This window comes from Homo sapiens, chromosome 11 (assembly GCF_000001405.40).
Source record: "Homo sapiens chromosome 11, GRCh38.p14 Primary Assembly".
Taxonomy (NCBI): Eukaryota; Metazoa; Chordata; class Mammalia; order Primates; family Hominidae; genus Homo; species Homo sapiens.
Window position 1 is genome coordinate 86243703 of NC_000011.10, and position 22237 is coordinate 86265939.

Sequence of the window (22237 nt, forward strand, 5' to 3'; positions counted from 1 at the left end):
TTTATGGATGGTGCACTCTAGGTGGGTAATGAGGTCTAGAAGAGAAAAGATATACAACATCAAGCAGGTGCCCAAGAAATGGTAGGTCCCTTTCTCCCTTCCTGCCTCCTCATTTTTACAGATGAGGACATTTTTACAGAAGCCCGAATAGATAAGTAGTCACAATCATGTTCTAAGAAAAACAAAAAAAAGGTGGCGGATGCCGTATTTTATTTTTCGTCATCACTCTCCTTTTCCTGCTGCTCATTCAGTTATGGTTTCATGACCCATATAATAATTCCACAAGGCTCACCAATGTTATCTGGCACCTGCTAGAGAATAGATATAGTAACAGAGGCAAATATTTTGGTGAAGTTTAACAGTTGTGTTGCCTTCTAGAATTTCATTGTATCTGATGTGCAAAAACAAGCAAAACATTGTCGGTTAAGTATCACAATCTCATAATGGAGATGAGCACTGATTCTTAGGCCTTGGCGTAGTTCAGGGCCTATCCTTTAGCAGCTAAAAAGAGCACTTTGGCTGTAACTCATTGGAGTCTAGTCTCATAATGTTAGGATATTTCTATTTAAGTCTTAACCACTATTGGTAGCAACTGGAAGGATAATCATTCATTACAATAAATAGTCAACAGAATAAATATCCGACAAGAATTTACGAAGCGTCTAGAGTATAATTCGGTAGCGCTTTGAAATCCACCCTGGGATTCGGAAACCGGGTAGAAAACTACCTGGTTCAGCAAACGAGAATTCAAACAGAGGAGGGGCTTGGAGGAGGCGGGTTTCGACGAACCCAGCGCAAGAGTACGCCACGGCGCCTGCGCATCCCCTGACGGGTACTTTCCATTCGCCAGATGGGGGAAGCCAGGGGGAAGCAGGTTACTGTTTTTGCATTTCTATCTTCAAGGAAGAATTAGGTTATGAATAGTTCCGTGAATAGTCAGGAAGCGCTGTCCTCCAAGTTCAAGATTAAGGAAACGTGGCATGCACAGCTAAAGCAAGAGGTGACGTCTTGTATCTTCCCCCGTTTCCTGGGACATTGGTGGTGTAGCCCATTCCACAGACTTTCGCTCCCTAGCAGCGGGTCGGAGATCGAAGGAACGGGCCAATTGCGGCTGAAACGTCTTTGGAAGGAGGAAGGGGGTGAGGGAGCATCCCTTTGAGTTTCGCCTCTTCTCGAGGCGGTGGTGGGAAGGGAGACATACTTAATACTGCCCTCTTAATCCAACGGACCTTACATCGTGTAGACTGCCGGGAGGGCGGCGGGAAAAGGGCAAGACGGGAGTTGGGGAAGGGAAGGAGCCAGGAAGCCGCGCGGGAGGGCGCGCGCGCGCGCCCCTTTTTCAGCAGTGTGGCGGGGTCGCACGCACGCCCGCCTCGGCGGCTGGGCGCGATTTGCGACAGTGGGGGGGGCGGTGGAGGTGGCGGCGGCAGCGGCAACTTTGCGGCAAGCTCGGGCCGGGCTTGCTTGACGGCGGTGTGGCGGAGGCCCCGCCCCAGGCGGCAGGAACCTGGAGGGAGGCGGAGGAATATGTCCGAGAGGGAAGTGTCGACTGCGCCGGCGGGAACAGACATGCCTGCGGCCAAGAAGCAGAAGCTGAGCAGTGACGAGAACAGCAATCCAGACCTCTCTGGAGACGAGAATGTAAGTGCAGCTTCTGGCAGTTACGAGACTGCGGAGTGAAAGTTTTAAATTCTTTTAAAACGGGGGGCGCGGGGACGAGCGGGCTGCTGTGGGGGGAGGGAGAGGTGTCACTCAGGAAAACGCGGGCGTGCGGGAGAAAATTGAAATTGCCTACGGGGATTTTGATGTGGGGCCGAGAGCAAGCAGGAACTAGGCAAAGGAGAGTGGTTCTAGTGATTGCGTGGGTCTGAGAAGTCTGCCCTGAAATCAGTTTGCATGTGATGGGGAGTGTTTTGGCCTTTGGGGGGATTTAAGGGGAGAGTGCGGGTCTGAGATTCTAGTAGTTTAAAAGGCACGTTAGAGACTTTTCTAAGAAAGTTGGAAGGACGGGGCAGAGTTAGGGACCCTGTTAAAGGAGCGTAAGGGTTGTCACTCTAAGACCCTTGTGGAATTTTCAGGATGGAAAGTGATCTTCGATTTGCGGAGTTTGGGAGACTTTATTAAAGGGGGTTTTGTGTCCGCCTCCGTCCTGTCCGCGGAGACCGGGTGCGCCTGAAGGTCGCCTTTTCTGTAGGAGGAGCCGAATTGAGAGGATCGATTTTTGATTTGGGGGTGGGGAGTGACTACCTTTGAGGAAGTAAGAGTGGGTGATTTCTTCTTTGAACGTTTTTACTTAAGATAAAGGTGAGGGGGGTGGCGACCTGGAAGATTTTGGGCAACAGTGGTATAGGCAGATGTATTTAAGTGTGGGTTCCTGGCTTCGCCAAGTGCGCGATGTTTTGCAATCAGATTTTTTTAAGCTCTGAAATGGGTATTCGTAATCATTCGGTACCAACATTTAACCCAACTGAGTTTTAATTGACTCGCCAGTAAGAGCCGAATTGACATAAATAAGTTTTCAGTTTCATGTTTTAGGTTGATAACCAGTAAGGTCAACGAAGTATCTTGACAATTTATTCAAAGATACTACTCCAAAATGTGATTCTCCTTCTCATGATATATAACAACTTGTGAATATCTTTTAAAAAATCCTTAAAATGTTTCAGAAGAGTGGCGTAAGTTCTTCATTTTCTCAGTTTGGCTAGTTTTAGGAATAAATGTTACATCTTCTACACGCAGTTTCTAAATTCTGTCATAATTCCTAGCTGAAACATATAATGATGTCATGACTAAGATTTTCACGGAAAAGATGGGAAAGGATTCTTTTTGCAGAGACAAGATAGATATTCTTGGGATTGTCAGTTTGTGGGATCTTAGACTTCAAATTTCAGAAAAGCTTGGGTGTTAAGTGTTACTTTTGTATTTTTCACCCGATTGTGCGCCCCAATCTCACTGTACATTGGGATCTAACATTTTTTACCCTCTTCTTTTTATTATTTGAAGACCGTTCATTTTATTTCTGCGTTTTCTTAAATTTCTCTAGGCAGATTAGAGTATTAAGAGCACAGATGCTGGATCCAAGTGATAGGTTAAAATTTCTGTTCTATTAGCTTGACCTCGAGCAAGAGACTGACATAATTGTCTTAGTTTCTTAAAAATGAGGATGGTGGTGTATGGTATTTACCTCATAGAGTATTTGTAAGCATTAAATGAGTTAATATAGCTAAAGTACTAAGAAGAGTGTCTGCCCCATAGTAAGTACTATACACATGTTATTTATTTATAATAATTACTACTACTAATTTTATGATTACATAGAATAATGTTTCTGGCTCTTCCACATACTTAATAATCAGGCAAAATATAATGAAACTGTCAGACCTGTTTAGAATGAAGAAACTTGCAAAGGACAAAATAAAGCTTATTTTCTTCTTGCAGACCCTTACAGGAAAACATATTCTTTGCTGCAATTTTAAAGCTGTTCAAGACCAAATGATTGGATTAGTTTTGTTTTGGTTCCTCCATTTGGATAGCCTTAATTTTGTGTGTGTGCGTGCGCATGCCTTGGAAGCCTTAATCTTGTAGAGTCTTCTCAAAATAACATTTTTAGATGTATGAAATACAGGATATGAGGTTACAAACAAATTCAATTATAAAATTGTACACCATGTTATAAAATATTTCTAAAACAAATTTTAGATGTAGTCCTATACTATATGTACTTTATTAGCACATTAAGTAACAAGATCTAGCAGCGGGTCTGATAGTAGTGATGGGTATAAACACTTTTTCGAAGTGTAATATAAAAATACTTGATTTCCATTGGTGGCAGAGTCACAACTTCAGTAACATTAAGCATGTGTTACCTAGATAATAATAGAAGGAAGTGCTAAATTTTAAAGGTGGCAAAAATTAAGATGCAATTTTTTTTCCCCATTTGAGTTCACAAGCCTTCTGAATTTCATCCATGTACCCCTGACTTAGGGGCAGTAGTAAGGTAAGGGAGTAGAGAACATTGTATAAAAATGAGTTTAGAAAAGATAAGGGCAATAGTTTTACTCTTGAGGGAGCCAAATAATGGCAAAAGGCCAAAGCAGATGGGGTGTGGGGGAATATGTTTTTGTGTTAGAGTTCAGGTAACCTGAGCAGTTACTACTGTTAATGTGAGTCAGAGAATTACAGGCACATATTTTACATTTATTGTGTTACCTGCCATTTTATTGAACTTTTTGAGATCATATGACTGCAGAGTAGTTGGCTTCTGCGAGAGTACTAATGGATGCCTTGGTAGTAAGATCAGAGGGCTGAATCTGGAGACTTGTCTTTTTGCTTAAGCAAAAGCAAAGATGCAGGGAATCCCTGTGGCAAGATGCAGGTGCAAATTACTGCCCTGTGTCTCTTTCCTCGTTGGGCAAGTGAAGATGGTAGTACCATGTCTGTTGCACAGTATCATTCTTTACTTTGAGAATGGAATAGGATGGAGGTCACCCTGTACATATATTAGACACTCAGCAAAGACTTGATTTTAGTTTAAAGATAAAATGGAAGCATGGTGGCTGTATTACATTTTCATTTGATTCCATCTTGATTTGCCTTGGGAGGAGATGGGTAAATTAAGTGATCAGAAGTAAAATAAGCAACGTGCCCTATTAACGAATGTTTTGTGTGGCCTCTGTATTGGCAGCTCAGTGTTTAGCCAGAATGTAAAGAAACTGATATATAAAAACGTCTTAGAGTTTTTAAAATTTCAGTTCTCTAGTGTTAAAAGGTAATTTTACAGAAAAAATGGCAAGTGAACACATGTTGAAACTTTTACTCAGAGGGAACCAGGCAAATGTTATACAGTAATGGTTAACCCGCAAAATCAAAACAGTACAAATTTATTAATATATGGAGTAAAGGAATGGAGAGATGAATTCCAAATGGAGACAGAAACTTTTTTTTCCCTTGAGTGGAAGGGAAGACATTTTGAACCTCTACTGTAGAGACAAAATTTACATGTCTATCAGTTATTCATAATGAAAAAAGAGTTGTGGCTGGGCGCAGTGGCTCACACCTGTAATCCCAGCACTTTAGGTGGCTGAGGTGGGAGGATCCTTTGAGTCCAGGAGTTTGAGACCAGCCTGGGCGACATCGTGAAACTCTGTCTCTACCAAAAATTAGCTGGGTGTGGTGGCCAGCTCCTGTTGTCCCAGCTACTCAGGAGGCTAAGGTGGGGGGAAGATCACTTGAGTCTGGGAGGTGGAGGTTGCGTTGAACCAAGGACAGAGTGGGTGACAGAGGGAGAGCCTGTCTCAAAAAAGAGTTGTAAGATAGCTCAAAGACATAGTGGAGGGCTATAGTCTGGTAACTTGGAAGGATGTGCTATATAGATAATGCATAGTTTTCCACTGAGATACAGAATTGTTTTCTACGTTTGATGTTAATTATGTGAATACAACTGAAAAGGTGGAGAGAAAAAGAGATTAAAATACCACATTTTCTATTTCTGTAAAGACTAATGATATTCACATTAAATTACAATTCAAATATTTGTTGAGTACGTACTGCTTGCTACCCGCCTATTATTTCATTTATGATATTTTTTAACCTTCTATATAAAACCAACTTTAGGAAGCAATAATTTAAAAATAGCCCCTAAAGCAGTGTTTCCTAGGCTGTTTAATAGGCATTTCATGGAAAAAAAAAAAAAAAAAGGCTTCCTCTGGAATGTATTTTAGAACTGCTGCCCTAAGATCCTAGATTAAATAAATCTTTTCTTTCCAAAGGAGACATTGGAATCTGTAATCAGGAGGTAGTGGAATCCTCTTCTGAGATTAGAGAGCTGAGATTAGAGGGCCACTCGTGTGTGAGATAAGGTATGAATTAGGAGAATTTTCAAGGTTTCCTGCAGTCATTTCTTTTTTTTGGAAGGATTTACTTTAATTGTGATTGAGAGTCTCTGGAGTTCTGATTTATGAGTATTATTACTTTAGAACAATGAGACAGTTTTAACTTGTAAATAGCATAGAATATATGTAGCACTTTAAAAAAATTCTAAATGTTTTGCGTTATAAGCAGAATTTGAATAACAGGATTTTAAAAAGTGACATCTAATGTAGAAGCCATTAACACTCCTGCTTCAAACGGCTCCCCAGCTCCATGCTCCAGACTGAGCAGCAGTCAAATACATTATGAAGACATATACATCAGTCAGATTTAAGAGTCACAGCTTTGGGATGGAATTACCAGCCAAGAGACCAGTTAGGCTTTTTCAGCACTTCCAGTACCTTTTGTAAAGAGCTGTAAAGATTCACTGATACAGTGTATTAAAGTGACTGGAACAGACCAGTGCCTTATTAAAGACAGTATTACTCTTCCATTATTCTCATTAGTATTTATTTCATTTTCATTTTTGTTGAAATATAAAATATCTACAAACCTTCTAACCTGTAGCTGGATTATGTTTATCCTTATGTGGAGGCAAGAATACATTTTTTTCTTCTTGTAGAAATTATTTCTCTTAGGTCAGTCAGCATCTTCCCAGTAGAGTTATTTACTGCTAAAAACAGTATTGCTGTTTCATGTAATTTTTCCTCATTTACTGCTTACAGGATGACGCTGTCAGTATAGAAAGTGGTACAAACACTGAACGCCCTGATACACCTACAAACACGCCAAATGCACCTGGAAGGAAAAGTTGGGGAAAGGGAAAATGGAAGTCAAAGAAATGCAAATATTCTTTCAAATGTGTAAATAGTCTCAAGGTATGTGCAAAAAAAGATCCTTTGGGCTGAATGCTAGGCTTCAGAAATTATTTCTCTGTGGCACGCATTTCGTACTCAGGATACTCTGTCAAGTTGTAAATATTTTAAAGTTACAATGTTTTCTGAAGGGTTTTTTTTTTTGTAGTTCAGACTGCGTATCTATTTTAGTCCATCCCATGTTTAGTTTTTTGGTTTTGTTTTTTGTTGTTTTAATTTAAATATGTGACAGTGTTGCAGGATGTTTTTGCTTTATTGTTTGCATTCAAATTATAAGATTTGGGTAACTATTACTCTTTATATTTTAGTAAAACTTAAAAAACATAAGCCACTTCTGGCATCAGTTTTTAAAAAGAACTGAATGTAACCCATTAACTTTGACTAAGTATAAATTGAAACAGATGTTTTACTTTGTACAGTTTCTGTCCTTTGTTTTATTTATAACTGTTTTCAAAGAAAAAGGTGTAAAAAATTTTTAAACTTTTTAATATTAAATATTTAGGGAAAAGGGGGTTTTGGTTATTTAAATTAATCTGTCCCCAATAGTATTTTTATTTACTTTATAAAAGGGGTTACTGGTGTTTAAGATATTTTCTTTTATATATGTCCAGTTTGTTTTTTAAATGTGAGGCTATTTTTTTCTATACTGAGGAAAAATGTGTATTATCTCATACATATGTAAGTTAAAACCTTTTCTAAATATCCAAATATATTTTTTATAAGTAAAGTTTTGGGAAAGCATAAGAAGCTATGACTATGACATTTTTCTGTCTGTGTAGCAAAAATTCGATGCTCAGTGTGTCAGATTTTGCTCCTGTAAAAGGAGAGAAATTAATCTCAGCATATTTTTTAAAAGTCAATTATAGTTTCATGTGCATATTTATTTACATTAACGTACTACTTTTAGGTACTGTACCTGGAAGATGTTTTTAGCTGCCTTTTATACTTAAGGCAGTATTTCAAAATCCTAAAGCTGTGGCTTTTCAAATGATGAGAAAACGAAAGACGTACTTTAAAAGTGAAAACAGTGCCTTAAACTGCATCTGAAAGTCAGTGTTAAATGCCAGAAGTTGGCCAGTAAAATCCTAAAGCTGAAAAATAACTTTGTGAACAAAAGTGCATAATTGTTCTTTGTACATCTCCTATAGCCTCCTGGTAACTGTGCAGTTACAGTTTATTTCTTCCCCTAGTCCCCAGTGTTCAGATATTCTCATTCTGACTAACAGAAAACAGTGATTTGAATGGAGTCTGCTATGCTTCACTTTACAAGGGAAAAATTTAGCCTTATAAAATTTAGTGAATGCCAGAGAAGCTATTAAGGCCATCTGTTAATTTCCTGTTTCAGAAAAATAAATTGTGTCCTTTTGTATCCACCAAAATTATCCAGTTTATTGTGATTCAGAATATGATTGGCTTATTAAGAAAAAGGCAAATATTATAAGTGTTTTCGTAGGTAAGCGGTTATTACCTAACTTGTGATTTCAGCCTTTGGTTGTGATAAAACTTTATCATACACAATATTTTAAAATGTGAAAACTAGACTAGTAGACATCTTTTAATTTTAGTGTCAAAAGTTAGCTTATGTATGATACACAAAATAATGTATTGCATTTTGGAAAAAAGAAGGGGATAGGTTAGTTTACTGTCATTTTCTGGTTTGTAAGATACATTAATCTTTTCTTATTTCATGATTATTTTATAGGAAGATCATAACCAACCATTGTTTGGAGTTCAGTTTAACTGGCACAGTAAAGAAGGAGATCCATTAGTGTTTGCAACTGTAGGAAGCAACAGAGTGAGTGTTAAGGGGTCTATTTAGTATTTGGCTTGATTTCCAGATCTGGTGTTAATGTAATATTGAAATAGAATAATTTCAAAGTGCATTTTGTGAAGCTGGTTTAGCAATATGATTCTTTCATGTAAGAGTGAAGGTTTCTAGAAATTAATTAAAACTAGTATGCATGGCTGAAAATACATCTATATTTAATATATTACCCCTAATTATTTATGAAACAGGTTTTATACTTGTATTTGTCTTCATAAATACTTGGTTGAAAGAATTGGCGTCCTTTTTTTTTTTTTTTAATTGGCGTTCTTTTTAAAGTGATTTTGGTATTTATCATTCAAATAGCGTAAGAACTGGCTGTGATTTTTTTAAAATTAAGGTAATGAATGGCTCTATAAATGAAGCATAAATCCAGTGGATTTAAATAAGTTATTGAGATGTTTTAATTACTTGCAGTAAACATTTGAGTTTGCTGGGTTTTTTTGTTTTGAGACAGGTAGTGTTTGGTGGTGATTGTTGTTGTTGTTGTTGTTGTTTGTTTTTGAGAGAGAGAGAGTCTTACTCCTTCCTCCAGGATGGAGTGCAGTGGTTAATCAAGGCTTACTGCAGCCTCAACTTCTGGGGCTCAGGTGATCCTCCCATGTCAGCCTTCTGAGTAGCTACAGGCATGCACTACCATCCCTGGCTAATTTTTTTTGTAGGGATAGGTTTTCACCGTGTTGCCCATGCTGGTCTTGAACTCTTGGGCTCAAGCAATCTACCTGCCTTGGCCTCCCAAAGAGCTGGGGTTGCAGTCATGAGCCACCATGTCCAGCCTTTTAAGGAAATTTTATAATGACATGTAAGGCTCTAGGCCTTTTACTATTTGACAAGGTCAATTCATTGAAACTCTAAATATTTTTAAGTTACCACTGAAGTTGATAACATGAAATAATAGCTTTTTTTCTTCTGTTTTTGGTGTTTAGTCAAATGTAGGTTTTAAGATAATGTAGTCTGCTTATAGTTGTTTAGTTCCTAGATTCTTTGAAAACAACAATTCAGAGGAAAAATTTTGCGGTTTTAAGAAAAGGTTGAGGTTATTTTTTTCCTAGTTGGGAATGTAGTGCATTAATTAAATTTGAGTCCACTTTTAAGACACCACTGTAAACCTAAGTTAATATTTAGCTTTGATAGTATTATAATTGGTATAGTTTGTGCTCCAGTGTGCTGATTGCAGTGTTTTAGGTTTTCTAACAAAAAGAATCCCTATTTTTATTTAAAGTGACATAAAGGGGTGTCATATAGTTTATTGAATTATAAAAAGTTCTGCTGTTAGAATTTCTTTAAAAGGAAGAAAGAAAACAAAAACAATTACCACATAAGACATAACCTAGTTAGCAGCCATATAAAGAATTTTTTTTGAACATTAACATAGAGGAGATAATGAATTAATAGGTTGTGATGATACACAGGATCTTCAGAGGTCTTCAGTACTATTATAAAATAATAATAGGTTTTTGCTAATGTGACTGACTATAAGCTATAAGAAAAATGGGGCCGGGCACAGTGGCTCACGCCTGTAATCCCAGCATTTTGGGAGGCTGAGGCAGGTGGATCACCTGAACTCAGGAGTTCGAGACCAGCCTGACCAACGTGGTGAAACCCTGTCTCTACTAAAAACACAAAAATTAGCTGGGCATGATAGCGAGTGCCTGTAATCTCAGCTACACGGGAGGCTGAGGCAGGAGGATCACTGGAATCCGGGAGGCAGAGGTTGCAGTGAGCCAAGATCATGCCATTGCACTCCAGTCTGGACGACAAGAGTGAAACTCTGTCTCAAAAAAAAAAAAAAAAAAAAAAAAAAAGAAAATGGAAAGAAATTTATAAAAGTTTAGTATTACAAAATTGTGTATGGTGTATGTATAGTTTTAATTTTAGAGTATGCAACAAATGAAAAAGGCTATCATACATGTGAAAGTTAATGTTTGATTATCTGTACCCATGAGAAAATAATTCATTAAGCAAATTGTAGACTTTTAAATATGTAACTAATATGTAAATACTCCAAAACTATCCAAAGACTTATTTTTATTTGAATTTTTATTTTTTATGGTTTTTTTTTTTTTTTGAGACTGAGTCTCTCTCTGTTGCCCAGGCTGGAGTGCAGTGGTGCAATCTTGGCTCACTGCAACTTCTGCCTCCTGGGTTCTAGCGATTCTCCTGTCTCAGCCTCCTGAGTAGCTGGGACTACAGGCACATGCCACCACACCCACCTAATTTTTGTATTTTTAGTAGAGACGGGGTTCCACCGTGTTAGCCAGGATGGTCTTGATCTCCTGACCTCGTGATCCACCCGCCTCGGCCTCCCAAAGTGCTGGGATTAAAGACATGAGCCACTGTGTCCGGACTTATTTTATTTTATTTTTTTTTGAGACAGAGTTTCGCTTTTGTTGCCAGGCTGGAGTGCAATGGTGCAATCTCGGCTCACTGCAACCTCCGCCTCCCGGGTTCAAGTGATTCACCAGCCTCAGCCTCCTGAGTAGCTGGGATTACGGGCATGTGCCACCACGCTCAGCTAATTTTTGTATTTTTGGTAGAGACAGGGTTTCACCATATTGGCCAGGATGGTCTTGATCTCTTGACCTCATGATCCGCATGCCTTGGCCTCCCAAAATGCTGGGATTACAGGCGTGAGCCACCGTGCCCGGCCTAATATTTATTTTTTAATAGAGATGGGGTTTTGCTATGTTGCCTAGGCAATTGAATGGATGAAATATAAGTTTAAAAGATTGGAAATCGAAACGACTATTACTGCAATATTTAATATGCTCTGTGTATTATGTAAAACATTCAGCTTTATAATGGCTTCTTTAAGCTCACAGGAGGTATTTTAAGGCAGTAGTTTCTGTAGTATATTTAAGATAGGATTGCGATTAAAATATGTTTAAAAGTTGGAGAGAGTATGTTTTCTATACTTGAGATGAAATTTACTGTATTTTTATTTTCATTAGGTTACCTTGTATGAATGTCATTCACAAGGAGAAATCCGGTTGTTGCAATCTTACGTGGATGCTGATGTATCCTTTCCTGGGTTTTTAATATCTTTAGTCAAAGGAATTTATTTTCAATAAGTGCACCAAAACTTTTATAAATTAATCATTTCCCTAAAGTTATTGTTCTTTCTTAACCGATTTCTTCACTATCACCCAAGAGAATCCTGTATCTAGTTTTCCTGACCCTTAGAAATCCATTGTGGTATGTGTCAACTCAGCTAGGCAAAAAGAAAAAGAAAAGAATCCATTGTGGGATGGATGTGCTGGTTGGGTGCAGATGTCTATAGAGATAGGAGCATTAGAAATCTAGTAATAGAAAATATTAGCAAAGACTGATTAAAACCTCCTTTTTCTTTGACCTTGCCTAGAATATATCATTTCATTGTAGTTATAATGATGAACTTGGCTTGTGACTGGTAGTCATTCTAAGTATTTGATCAACGAAGCCTAGGAAGAAAAAAAAAGTTTAGGAAAAATAAAATATATAAAAATAAAATAAAATAGGAAATAAAAATTGCAAAACAGGTTCATAAAGAAACAGAAAAATTTGAAAAGCCCGAGTTAGAGCGGTAAAAGCTAAGTAATAAGATATTTCTTCCAGATCCATTTGAAAAACCTAGCAAACAAGACAAGGCAAGGACATTCAGTCTTCTCTAAAAGATATTGAAATGTGACCTGTTGTTGTATTGAGACTGTCTCACAAAGAAAAAAGTGGAAAACTGAATTGTTCTTTTTTAGATATTTATAGAGGTATGGGGATAGAGCAGAGGTTAAACTACAGCGTGCAGGTTGGTCACCTGTTTTTGTAAAGTTTTGTTTTGAACACAACCATGCCCATTCATTTGTATATTTTCTGCAGTTATTTTGGTACTGCAACTACAGAGTTGAGTAGTTGTACAAGCAGCTAAAGAGTAAACAAAATTGAGTGGAGAGACTGTAATTTTGTTTGATCATTTGTTATGGATTTTAGACCTCAAATCACCATTGTATATATTTGGTTGTATAAGGAAAATTGAGAACTTTGGTGTCAAAAACTTTAGCAGTTCTTTATAAGTTTCTATTATAATTATTGACATGTTTCTTTTTCAAAAACATTATGTTTCTTAACTGTGGAATTTCTTAGGCTGATGAAAACTTTTACACTTGTGCATGGACCTATGATAGCAATACGAGCCATCCTCTGCTGGCTGTAGCTGGATCTAGAGGCATAATTAGGATAATAAATCCTATAACAATGCAGTGTATAAAGGTGGGTTTTTCTGGTTAAATTGTAGATCTGCTTCTTTTGAATCCACAACTGTAAAAACTTGTAATGTTAAATTTAAAACTAATGGTATGAATGTAACATTTCTCATTTGATTTGTACTTTTCTTACTGCTCTCTTTGGATGAGTCTTTTGAGACGTTTGTCACATTTGGGTAATGTAAATTAAGGAATAAGTGGGAAAATGTTAATATTTGTAGTGCTTTCTTTTTAAATCATTTCCCTCTTTCACCCTTGTCATGGTTTACTTTGAGAGGCTCTAAATGAACAATAAGAGGGAGTCCATTTTCCAAGACACCTAAACTGGAGGGGTGTTATCAAAGGGACCTTGTAACGAACATAAAGGTGAAGCCTAGGAAGTTGATAAGAAGACGGGTTTTTCAAATCACTTTCATCACCTGTTTTTAACTGTTGGGCTACATCACACTCTCCTGAGGATGCTTAAAACCCTACGCATATTGGAGCCTCCGCTAATCCGATCAGAATATCTGCAGGTGGAGTTTTGAGCATCTTTTTTTTTTTTTGTTCTGAGACAGATTCTGACTCCTTTGCCCGGGCTGGAATGTAGTAGCATGATTATAGCTCACTGCAGCCCGTCTCCTGGGCTCAAGCGATCCTCCTGCCTCAGCCTCTCAAGTAGCTGGGGCCAATTTTTAATTTGTGTGTGTGTGTGTGTGTGTGTGTGTGTGTGTATGAAGATAGGGTCTTGCTGCATTGCTCTGACTGGTCTTGAACTCCTGACCTCAAGCGATTCTGCCTTAGCTTTCCAAAGTGCTTGGATTAAAAACATGAGCCACCCACTGTGCCTGGGGTCTTTTTTTTTTTTTTTTTTCCTTTTCACCTCAAGTTTGTTGGGTGATTTTAGTATGCAGCCAAGGTTGAGAACCACTACTTTAAGTGAAACTATTTTTACATTCTCTAAAGATTTATGAAAAAAAATTTACTGATTTTGAGATAGGAAACTTGAAATGTTTTAAATTTATTGTAGCACTATGTTGGCCATGGAAATGCTATCAATGAGCTGAAATTCCATCCAAGAGATCCAAATCTTCTCCTGTCAGTAAGTAAAGGTAAGTGAAGCAAATGTTTCTTGAGTCTGTGCAATTTGTCAGAATTAAGATGGAGTCACTAATGTCAAGAAAACCCTGACAAATAGGAAAAACCATGAGAAGAGAGTCCACATGCTTGTATGTCTGATAATAAAAACTCACAAAAAAACACAACCACAACCTTGCACAAAGGCCATCACAGCCTTACACAGAAAATACTGGCAGTAAGTGCCTCTCCATCCTGAGACTGGCATCACCCTTGTTACTGATTTTGTGGCCAATCTTATTTCAAAACAATTATGTAATCCTTCTCATTTTTTTCTTTAAAAACCTCTGTCTTTCCTTTACGTCTCGGAGAACACACATAGTTTACTTTGGCATGTACATTCTCATTGCAGTGCATTATTTCCATATAAACATCTTTTATTTTAGAGAGCCTCTCTGTTACTTAGGTTGACAGGTCCTGTTTTATTTTAAGTCTAGTATCTGTTAGTTATTTTTCCTGATCTTCTTACTCCTCCCACCCTCTACCCTCCAGTAGGCCCCAGTGTATGGACAGATAGTGTTCTAAGGAAATAAAGCCAAATTAAAAAAAAGGTTATAACAGTACATTTTAGTAGGAAAATCCCAGGCTATGTTAGCATATCCAAATCATTTTGTCCAATCATGTAATAATAAATACTACATATGAAAATTCATATTGCTTTTTTATTTTTTAAAAAAGCTTTTGTTTTATAAAGGATTTCCTATAGAATTTCTTAAAAATGCTACGTTTTTCAGGATAAGTTATTTGAAATATTCCCATAAAGGGAAAGCATTGCATTTTGGAAATCACTACCTCTAGGAAGAGTTGATTACTTTTTCTTGTCTCTTGATAACACTAATTGGGGCTCAGATATTTCTGAACAACTGTATAGACCGTAATGCCTCACTTGTTCTAAATATTACAACTTTTTTTTTCTCTTTTCTTTGTTTTTTGGTTTTTTTTTTTTTTTTTGAGACAAAGTTTCGCTCTTGTTGCGGAGGCTGGAGCGCAATGGTGCAATCTCGGCTGACTGCAACCTCTGCCTCCCGGGTTTAAGAGATTCTCCTGCCTCAGCCTCTCGAGTAGCTGGGATTACAGGCATGTACCACCATGCCCGGCTAATTTTTGTATTTTTAGTAGAGATACGGTTTCTCCACATGGGTCAGGCTGGTCTTGAACTCCTGACCTCAGTTGATCCGCCTGTCTCAGCCTCCTAAAGTGCTGAGATTACAGGTGTGAGCCACTGCGTCCTGCCTCTATTTATTTATTTATTTATTTATTTTTGAGACAGAGTCTTGCTTTGGCGCCCAGGCTGGAGTGCAATGGCTCTATCTCGGCTCACTGCAACCTCTGCCTCCTGGGTTCAGGTGATTCTCCTGCCTGACCCTCCCGAGTAGCTGGGATTACAGGCGCCCTCCACCATGCCTGGCTAATTTTTTTTATTTTTAGTAGAGATGAGGTTTCTCCATGTTGGCCAGGCTGGTCTCAAACTCCTGACCTCAGGTGGTCCACCCGCATCGGCCTCCCAAAGTGCTGGGATTATAGGCGTGAGCCACTGCGCACAGCCCAACATCACAACTTTTAACCCTGGTCTTCCTCTATTGTGTCAGTAAGAGCATTTTTAAAAATCAGAAGTTTGAGCATGAATAAGAATTTTGCTCCAAGTGATACTATCAAGAAAGTAAAAAAGCCTACTCAAAAGGAGAAAAAATATTTATAAATCATTCTGATAAAGGACTTTGATTTTTATTTTTTGTTTTTGGAGACAGGGTCTTGCCCAGTCACCCAGGTTGAGTGCAGTGGTGTGATCATGGCTCACTGTAGCCTCAACCTACCAAGTAGTTAGGACTACAGGCACGTGCCGCCATACCTGGCTAATTTTGTAAAAAATGTTTTTGTAGAGATGAGGTCTCCCTGTGTTACCTAGACTGGTCCTCAAACTCCTGGCCTCAAGCAGTCCTCCTACCTTGGCCTCCTAAACTGCTGGGATTACAGGCATGAGCCATGATTCCCAGCTAATAAGGGACGTGTATCAAGAATTTTTATAGCTCAACAATAAAAAGACAGCCCAATTTAAAAATGGCCAAAAGTTCTGAATGACATTTCTTCACAGAGCATACACAGATGGCCACTGAGCACATGAAAAGATGTTTAACATATTAATCATTAAGGAAATACAAATCAAAACCATAATGAAATACCACTTCACACCTACTTAGGGTGGCTGTAATAAAAACGTTAGATACTAACAAGTATTGACTGGCACAAGAAGAAATCAGAGCCCTCTCAGACACTGCTGGTGGGAATGTAAAATGTAACTACTTTGAAAAACAATCTGGCAGTTCCTCAAAATGTTACAGAGTCACTAATCCTAGATGTTTACATATGTATGTATATCCTAGGGTTGTGTGGGTGGGGGTGTACATATGTATCCCCAACAGAAATAACATGTCCATACAAAAGCTTGTACAAAATTGAAATCAAGGAATCATTTTTACAGCACTGTTAATTTTCACATGTATTACTACCTCTGGGGTGTTTATGTGATGCATTTATATTCACAGACAGAATGAACATTGTTATATTTCAAGCTTACATGACGTGTCTTTGCTTTACATTCTTTCTTTTTTTTAAATACTGTTTTAGAGACAGGATCTCACTCTGTCAACCAGGCTATAGTAGAGTGATGTGATCACAGCTCACTGTAGCTTGAGCTCCTGGCCTCAAGCAATGTTCCCACCTCATCCTTCTGAGTAGCTGGGACTACATGTGCACACCACCATGCCTGGCTAATTTTTAAAAATTTTTTGTAGAGATACGGTTTCATTATGTTGTCCAACCTGGTCTCAAACTCCTGGCCTCAAAAGATCCTCACACCTTGGCCTCCCAAAGTGCTGGGATTACAGGTGTGAGCTACTGCTGTACATTCTTTATTAATGTTTAATATAACATTGCTCAAATTATAGCTGCATAATTTTTGAAGAGGGACTGTCATTCTATAAAATTGTGCATGATATATGTAGTTATGTTTTCAGCTTACTGTAAAAATCATAAATCTCAGTCCCCTTTCAATTTTTTAATGTGAGTATGGTGAAGGGAAAAGCTAGTATCTTGTTCTGTGGGATAAAATTGCTTATGTCAAATCTGTATTTTATTTCAAAAGTATATTTCCATCAAATTAGGTTATTTAAAGAAAGTTATTTGAGATAAATATGCTTAAAATATTTTTCAGACCACATGAATATTTCTGAACTTACTGTCTTAGTCCACTTTAACCTGGCATTAGAAAGTAAGAACAAGAAATTGAACTTGAAGCCTTTTTTTTTTTTAATATATAATTGGAATTAATTCATTCATAAGAGTGGTACTCTCATGACCTAACGCTTCTCATTAGGTCTCATCTCCCAACACTGCTGCATTGGGATTAAGTTTCCCAACCTGCTTTTTCGGGGGTTCATTTAAGCTGTAGCATTCTGCCTCTAGCCCCCAAAATTCAAATCCTCAATCAGATATGGGTGAGACTCAAGGCAGGATTCCTGCTGAGGTAAATTCTCCATCTGTGGGTCTGGGAAATCAGGCATCTTATCTATTTTCAAAATACAGTGGTAGGATAAGCATAGGATAGACAGTCCCTTCCAAAAAGGAGAGATAGGCAAGAATAAGGGTAACTGGTCCCAAGTAAATCCAAAACTCAACAGAACAAACAAGATTAAATCCAAGGCACCAGAATAATCTTCCTTGGCTCCATGTTTTGCCTTCTGGGCATGCTGGGTGTGGAGTTTGGGCCCCAGAGGCCTTGGGCAGCCCCATCTTTATGGGTTTGCCACGTGCAGCCCACATAGCATCTTATGAGTTGGAGTCGGGTGCCTGCAGCTCTTGCAGGCTGGTGGTGTGCCCTGGTAGCTCAGCAGTTCTGGGATTTGGGGGATGGCTTTTTCCCCATGGCTCCACCAGGTGTTGCTGTAGTAGGAACTGCTGTGTGGCTCTGCCCTTCTGAAAAGTTTCTGCCTGGAGCCCCAGGCTCTTTGTGATGTCTTTTGAAATCTAGAGAGGAAGCCGTGCCTCCACAGTTCCTGCATTCTCTGCATCTGCAGACTTAACACCACATGGACACTGCCAAGATTTGCTGCTTGTACCTTCAGAAGCTATGGCCTGAGCCATACTTGAGCCCCTTCAAGCTATGGGGTGACCAAAGAGCACTGCCTTGGAATAGGGGGAGCAAAGTGCTGAAGTGGCCCTGGACAGTGAATGTAGAGGTCCCATGGGTGCTACTCTGGAAACCTTGCCCTCAAGGTCTTAGCTATGTCTTGAAGATCTCTGAAATGCCTTTGTGGTCATTATCCCATTGTCTTGGTGAATAGAACCTGCCTTCTCTTCCCTATTAATCTCCTTAGCAATTAGTCACTTAGCTACATCCTTAATATTCTCTCTCAAACATGCTTTTTTATTTTATATATTTTTTGAAGAGACAAGGACTTGCTATGTTGCCCAGGCTGGTCTTGAACTTCTGGGCTCAAATGATCCTTCCACCTCAGCCTTCGAAAGTGTTGGGATTACAGGTGTGAGCCACCACACCCAGCCTGCTTTTTTTTTCTTTACATGGCCAGGCTGAGAGTTTATAAATGTTTCTGTTTTGCTTTCCTTTTTAATTACAAATTTCACCTTTAGATCATTTCTCATTTTATGATAAGCAGCCAGAAGAAGCCATGCATCACTGTGAATGCTTTGATGCTCAGATATTTCTTCTGCCAGGTATTGGATTCATTGCTCTTAACTTCTGCCTTCCACAAAGTCCTAGGGCATGGACACAGTCCTGCTAAGTTCTTCACAACTGTATTGCAAGGATGGCTTTTATTTATTTATTTAATTTATTTTTTTGAGGCAAGGTCTCATTCTTGTCACCCAGGCTGGAGTGCAGTGGCACAACCTCTGCTCCCTCACACCCTCTCCTTCCCTTTTGCTGTGAGACGATTCAGCATGAAGGCCCTCACCGGATGCCGGCACCATGCCAGTGATCCTTCCACTTCAGCCTCCCGAGTAGCTGGGACTACAGGCACATGCCACCACACCCCGCTAGTTTTTGTATTTTTTGTAGAGATGGAGTTTCACCATGTTGCCCAGGCTAGTCTCGAATTCCTGAGCTCAAGTGTCCACCCACCTCAGCCTCCCATGCTGCTGGAATTACAGGCATGAGCTACCACACCTGGCCTGGCTTTTTTTTTTTTTCTTTTAAAGACAGGGTTGGTCTCTGTCACCCAGGCAGTGCAGTGGCATGATCATAGCTCACTGCAGCCCAAAACTCCTAGGCTCAATTGATCCTCTTGCCTCAGTCCCCTAAGTAGCTAGAACTGCAGGTACACGCCACCACACCTGGCTAATTTATTTTCTGTAGGGATTGGGTCTCACTATGTTACCCCGGCTGGTCTTGAATTCCTGGCCTCAAGTGATCCTCCTGCCTCAATCTCAAAGTGCTGGGATTACAGGCATGAACCATCACACCCTGCCAACAGGGATAGCTCTTACTCCATTTTCCAATAACTTCTCATTTCTGTCTGAGACCTCACTGAATGAGACCAACCTCATTCTGTCTGAGACCAACATTGTTCTACCAACATTCTGATCACAACCACTTAAGTAATCCTTAAGAAGATAAAGGCTCTGCCTGAAGCTCTTGTCTTCTTTTCAGCCCTCACTGGAATTACCCTCAATGCTCCACTCACACCAATATAGGCTTTTTCTAGCCTGCTCCTCCAGATTCTTCCAGCCTCTCCTCGTTACCCAGTTCCAAAGTCATTTCCACATTTTCAGGTATTTATAGCAATAGTCCCGTTTCTGAGTACCAACATTCTGTCTGAGTCCATTTTGTGCTGCTATAACACAATACCACAGACTAGGTGACTGACTGATGGATTAATTAATTTCTTTTCTATTGCTCAGGCTTCACTAATTTTTAAATTTTTTGTTGAGACAGGGTCTTGCTATATTGCTAGGGCTAGTCTCAAACTCCTGGGCTTAAGCAGTCCTCCCATCTTGGCCTTCTGAAGTGCTGGGGTTACAAGCATGAGCCACCGTACCTGACTGGGTGATTTATAATGAACAAAAATTTATTTGGCTCCTGTTTCTGGAGACTGGGAAGTCCAAGAACATGGTGCCGGCATCTGGTGAGAGCCTTCATGCTGAATCGTCTCAGCAAAAGGGCAGGAGAGGGTGTGAGGGAGCAAGAGATTGAATTTATAGCCTCAGGCCCTTTTATAATCAGTATTAATCCATTTGTGAGGATGGAGCCCCCATGACCTAAATACCTCCCATTAGGCCCCAGCTCACACCACTATTGCATTGGGGATTGAGTTTCTAGCACATGCTTTTGGGGGGGCCTATTCAAACTATAGCACTTACCTAGCTAATTCTACATCTGATGTAAACATTTTAAGTTGCTATGTAATATGGATTCCATTTTTAGGCTTTACTGTGCATAACTTACATCTAGACTTTAGTAGTTTTTCTTTCACAAGATGTTGAAAGTTCACAGTAAATAAAAAACATTCGCCTAATTTTTGTATGTTTATACTAGATCATGCTTTACGATTATGGAATATCCAGACGGACACTCTGGTGGCAATATTTGGAGGCGTAGAAGGGCACAGAGATGAAGTTCTAAGTGCTGTAAGTTGGAAACTGCAGGGCAATGACTTTCAGGTTTACATAGCTGTGAACAGTCTCCATGGAACTGTTTCCTTATAAGAAAGTGTGTTTCATGTAGCCTGTCAGGCAGACATTCACTTACATTTGACATAGAAGATTTTAATCTCCAGATGAAGGAATAAAACAAGTAAAGACTATATTTATTTATTTATTTTTTAAATTACTTGCACTGTATACCAATCCCTGGAGTCTTATGAGAGCAGTATGATCTTGCTCCTTTCCTTTTAATCTAAAATCACTAAGTTAATGTTTGTTTTGCCATTTCGCAGTTATTAAAGAAAAAAATTAAACTATGTAGCCATTAAAGTGCTTTTCCATCTTTTGTTTGAAGTTGAAACATAACGTTTTTTGCTATTTGGAAGTGTTTTATTGTGCTCACACTGTTTTAGGTAACTTATTTCTAGCCATTCTCTTTGGGTGGCGTGGTATAATACAAGACCAGTTTAAAGATAAATACCACCTTTATATTGATGTATTGTAATCCATTGGTCCATTATACAAGTGTTTTTAGTTAGGTTTCAGATTTTAACATTATTTTTGCTTATGTTCCATATTTAGCTCATTTGATTCCTGTAGTAATTTCACATCTCTTAGGTTGTTTTCCATTAAACTATGTAAAGGGGCACCATATTTTACAGCATGTAACATTTTAGTTGAAGGTACTAAAATATTCCTATGTTGAAGTTTGGATTCCTTTGTGAGAATCATACCTTCCTTCGAATACCTTGTCAACTTGGATTTCCTAAAAGTTGCAGTAGCATTCTACGTCTGGCTTTATGTGTGTAAAAGCCAAGTGAACTGTTCTTTATTAATAACTCCAAATTAGTGGTATTGTCTCGAAGGATGTCTTGTTGCTGTTGACAGTGAGGTAATTAGAAGTACCACAACTGTGAATTCAATAAACATCAAGCCTAAAGTTCTTAGGCTCTTATAAAATGGTGCTCATAATTAATGCAAAGGCTGGATTAACATATAGTATCTAGGTTAGTAAGGAAAATATACTCCTTCAATAGAACTCTCTACTGTTATTTCTTAGAATGAGAGCAGGAGACAGTATGTAGCTCTTCTGTGTAATACAGGAGTTCACTGGAGGTGGATAGGTGTGTGAGATTTTCATTACTCATTATGTGCCTTTTGCTAAATTAAATAGCATCTCTGGGCCTTAGTGTCTGCCTATGAAATGAGGTTGTTACAATAGATGATCTGTTACATGCCTGTTAAAAATTAGTAAACAGCAAATGAAAAAAGTTAAAATCTGTTTTTTATTAGACTTTTAAAAATTCACTTAAAAGTGAACTCTAAAACTAACTTCAAAATATTTTGACTTAGAATTATAAAGTAAGATGTCAGCTCTTTAAGGATTCATGTATTTTCACATGCACATGTCAGTTTCATTGGTTGGTTGAGGTTGGATAGGAAAAGTAATATCACTATTCAGCTCTTTGTGTCAGAATAATTATTTTAACTTAGTATTCAATTTACCTTCAAAATAAGCAAAATAAATATTTTAGTGTAATTGAATAGATAAAACTAAGTTTAAGTAATTTTTTCTTGGTTTATACATTGTAAATGCTCTTATATTCCGATGTTGACAAACTAATTAAAGCTGTAAATCTTGAAAGTAGTAAACTCTGATT

The 22237-nt window shown here is 38.5% G+C and overlaps 1 protein-coding gene across 22 annotated transcripts in view, besides 4 other annotated features; it reads left to right on the plus strand.

Moving 5' to 3' along the window:
* Positions 504 to 1034: an enhancer, noted in NCBI's record as "NANOG-H3K27ac-H3K4me1 hESC enhancer chr11:85955248-85955778 (GRCh37/hg19 assembly coordinates)". NCBI's record gives its function as "activates a minimal SCP1, AML or CMV promoter by ChIP-STARR-seq in naive H9 embryonic stem cells {active_cell/tissue: H9 hESC(naive)}" and the evidence as "EXISTENCE:reporter gene assay evidence [ECO:0000049][PMID:30033119]".
* Positions 1035 to 1563: an enhancer, noted in NCBI's record as "NANOG-H3K27ac-H3K4me1 hESC enhancer chr11:85955779-85956307 (GRCh37/hg19 assembly coordinates)". NCBI's record gives its function as "activates a minimal SCP1, AML or CMV promoter by ChIP-STARR-seq in naive H9 embryonic stem cells {active_cell/tissue: H9 hESC(naive)}" and the evidence as "EXISTENCE:reporter gene assay evidence [ECO:0000049][PMID:30033119]".
* The window catches only part of EED (embryonic ectoderm development), a 42863-nt gene continuing 21676 nt past the window's right edge, over positions 1051 to 22237 (plus strand). For 13 of the 22 annotated variants that reach the window (NM_001440588.1, XM_017018512.3, NM_001440603.1 and 10 more), the window contains exons 1-7: positions 1051 to 1641; positions 6594 to 6746; positions 8446 to 8538; positions 11520 to 11585; positions 12685 to 12810; positions 13813 to 13894; positions 20470 to 20561. In NM_001440588.1, coding sequence (NP_001427517.1) covers positions 1528 to 1641; positions 6594 to 6746; positions 8446 to 8538; positions 11520 to 11585; positions 12685 to 12810; positions 13813 to 13894; positions 20470 to 20561 — 726 coding nt within the window. In that variant the 5' untranslated portion in view covers positions 1051 to 1527. Of the gene's footprint in view, positions 1642 to 5746; positions 5859 to 6593; positions 6747 to 8445; positions 8539 to 11519; positions 11586 to 12684; positions 12811 to 13812; positions 13895 to 20469; positions 20562 to 22237 lie in introns of those variants that run through there. The other 9 variants (NM_001440600.1, NM_001440587.1, NM_001440594.1 and 6 more) reach the window with 5 other exon arrangements.
* Positions 3945 to 4239: a silencer, noted in NCBI's record as "tiled region #11891; HepG2 Repressive non-DNase unmatched - State 2:TssF, and K562 Repressive DNase matched - State 2:TssF". NCBI's record gives its function as "represses a minimal TATA promoter and a strong SV40 promoter by Sharpr-MPRA in HepG2 and K562 cells {active_cell/tissue: HepG2 | K562}" and the evidence as "EXISTENCE:reporter gene assay evidence [ECO:0000049][PMID:27701403]".
* Positions 12464 to 12513: an enhancer, noted in NCBI's record as "active region_5374". NCBI's record gives its function as "activates an Ori minimal core promoter by ATAC-STARR-seq in GM12878 lymphoblastoid cells {active_cell/tissue: GM12878}" and the evidence as "EXISTENCE:reporter gene assay evidence [ECO:0000049][PMID:35858748]".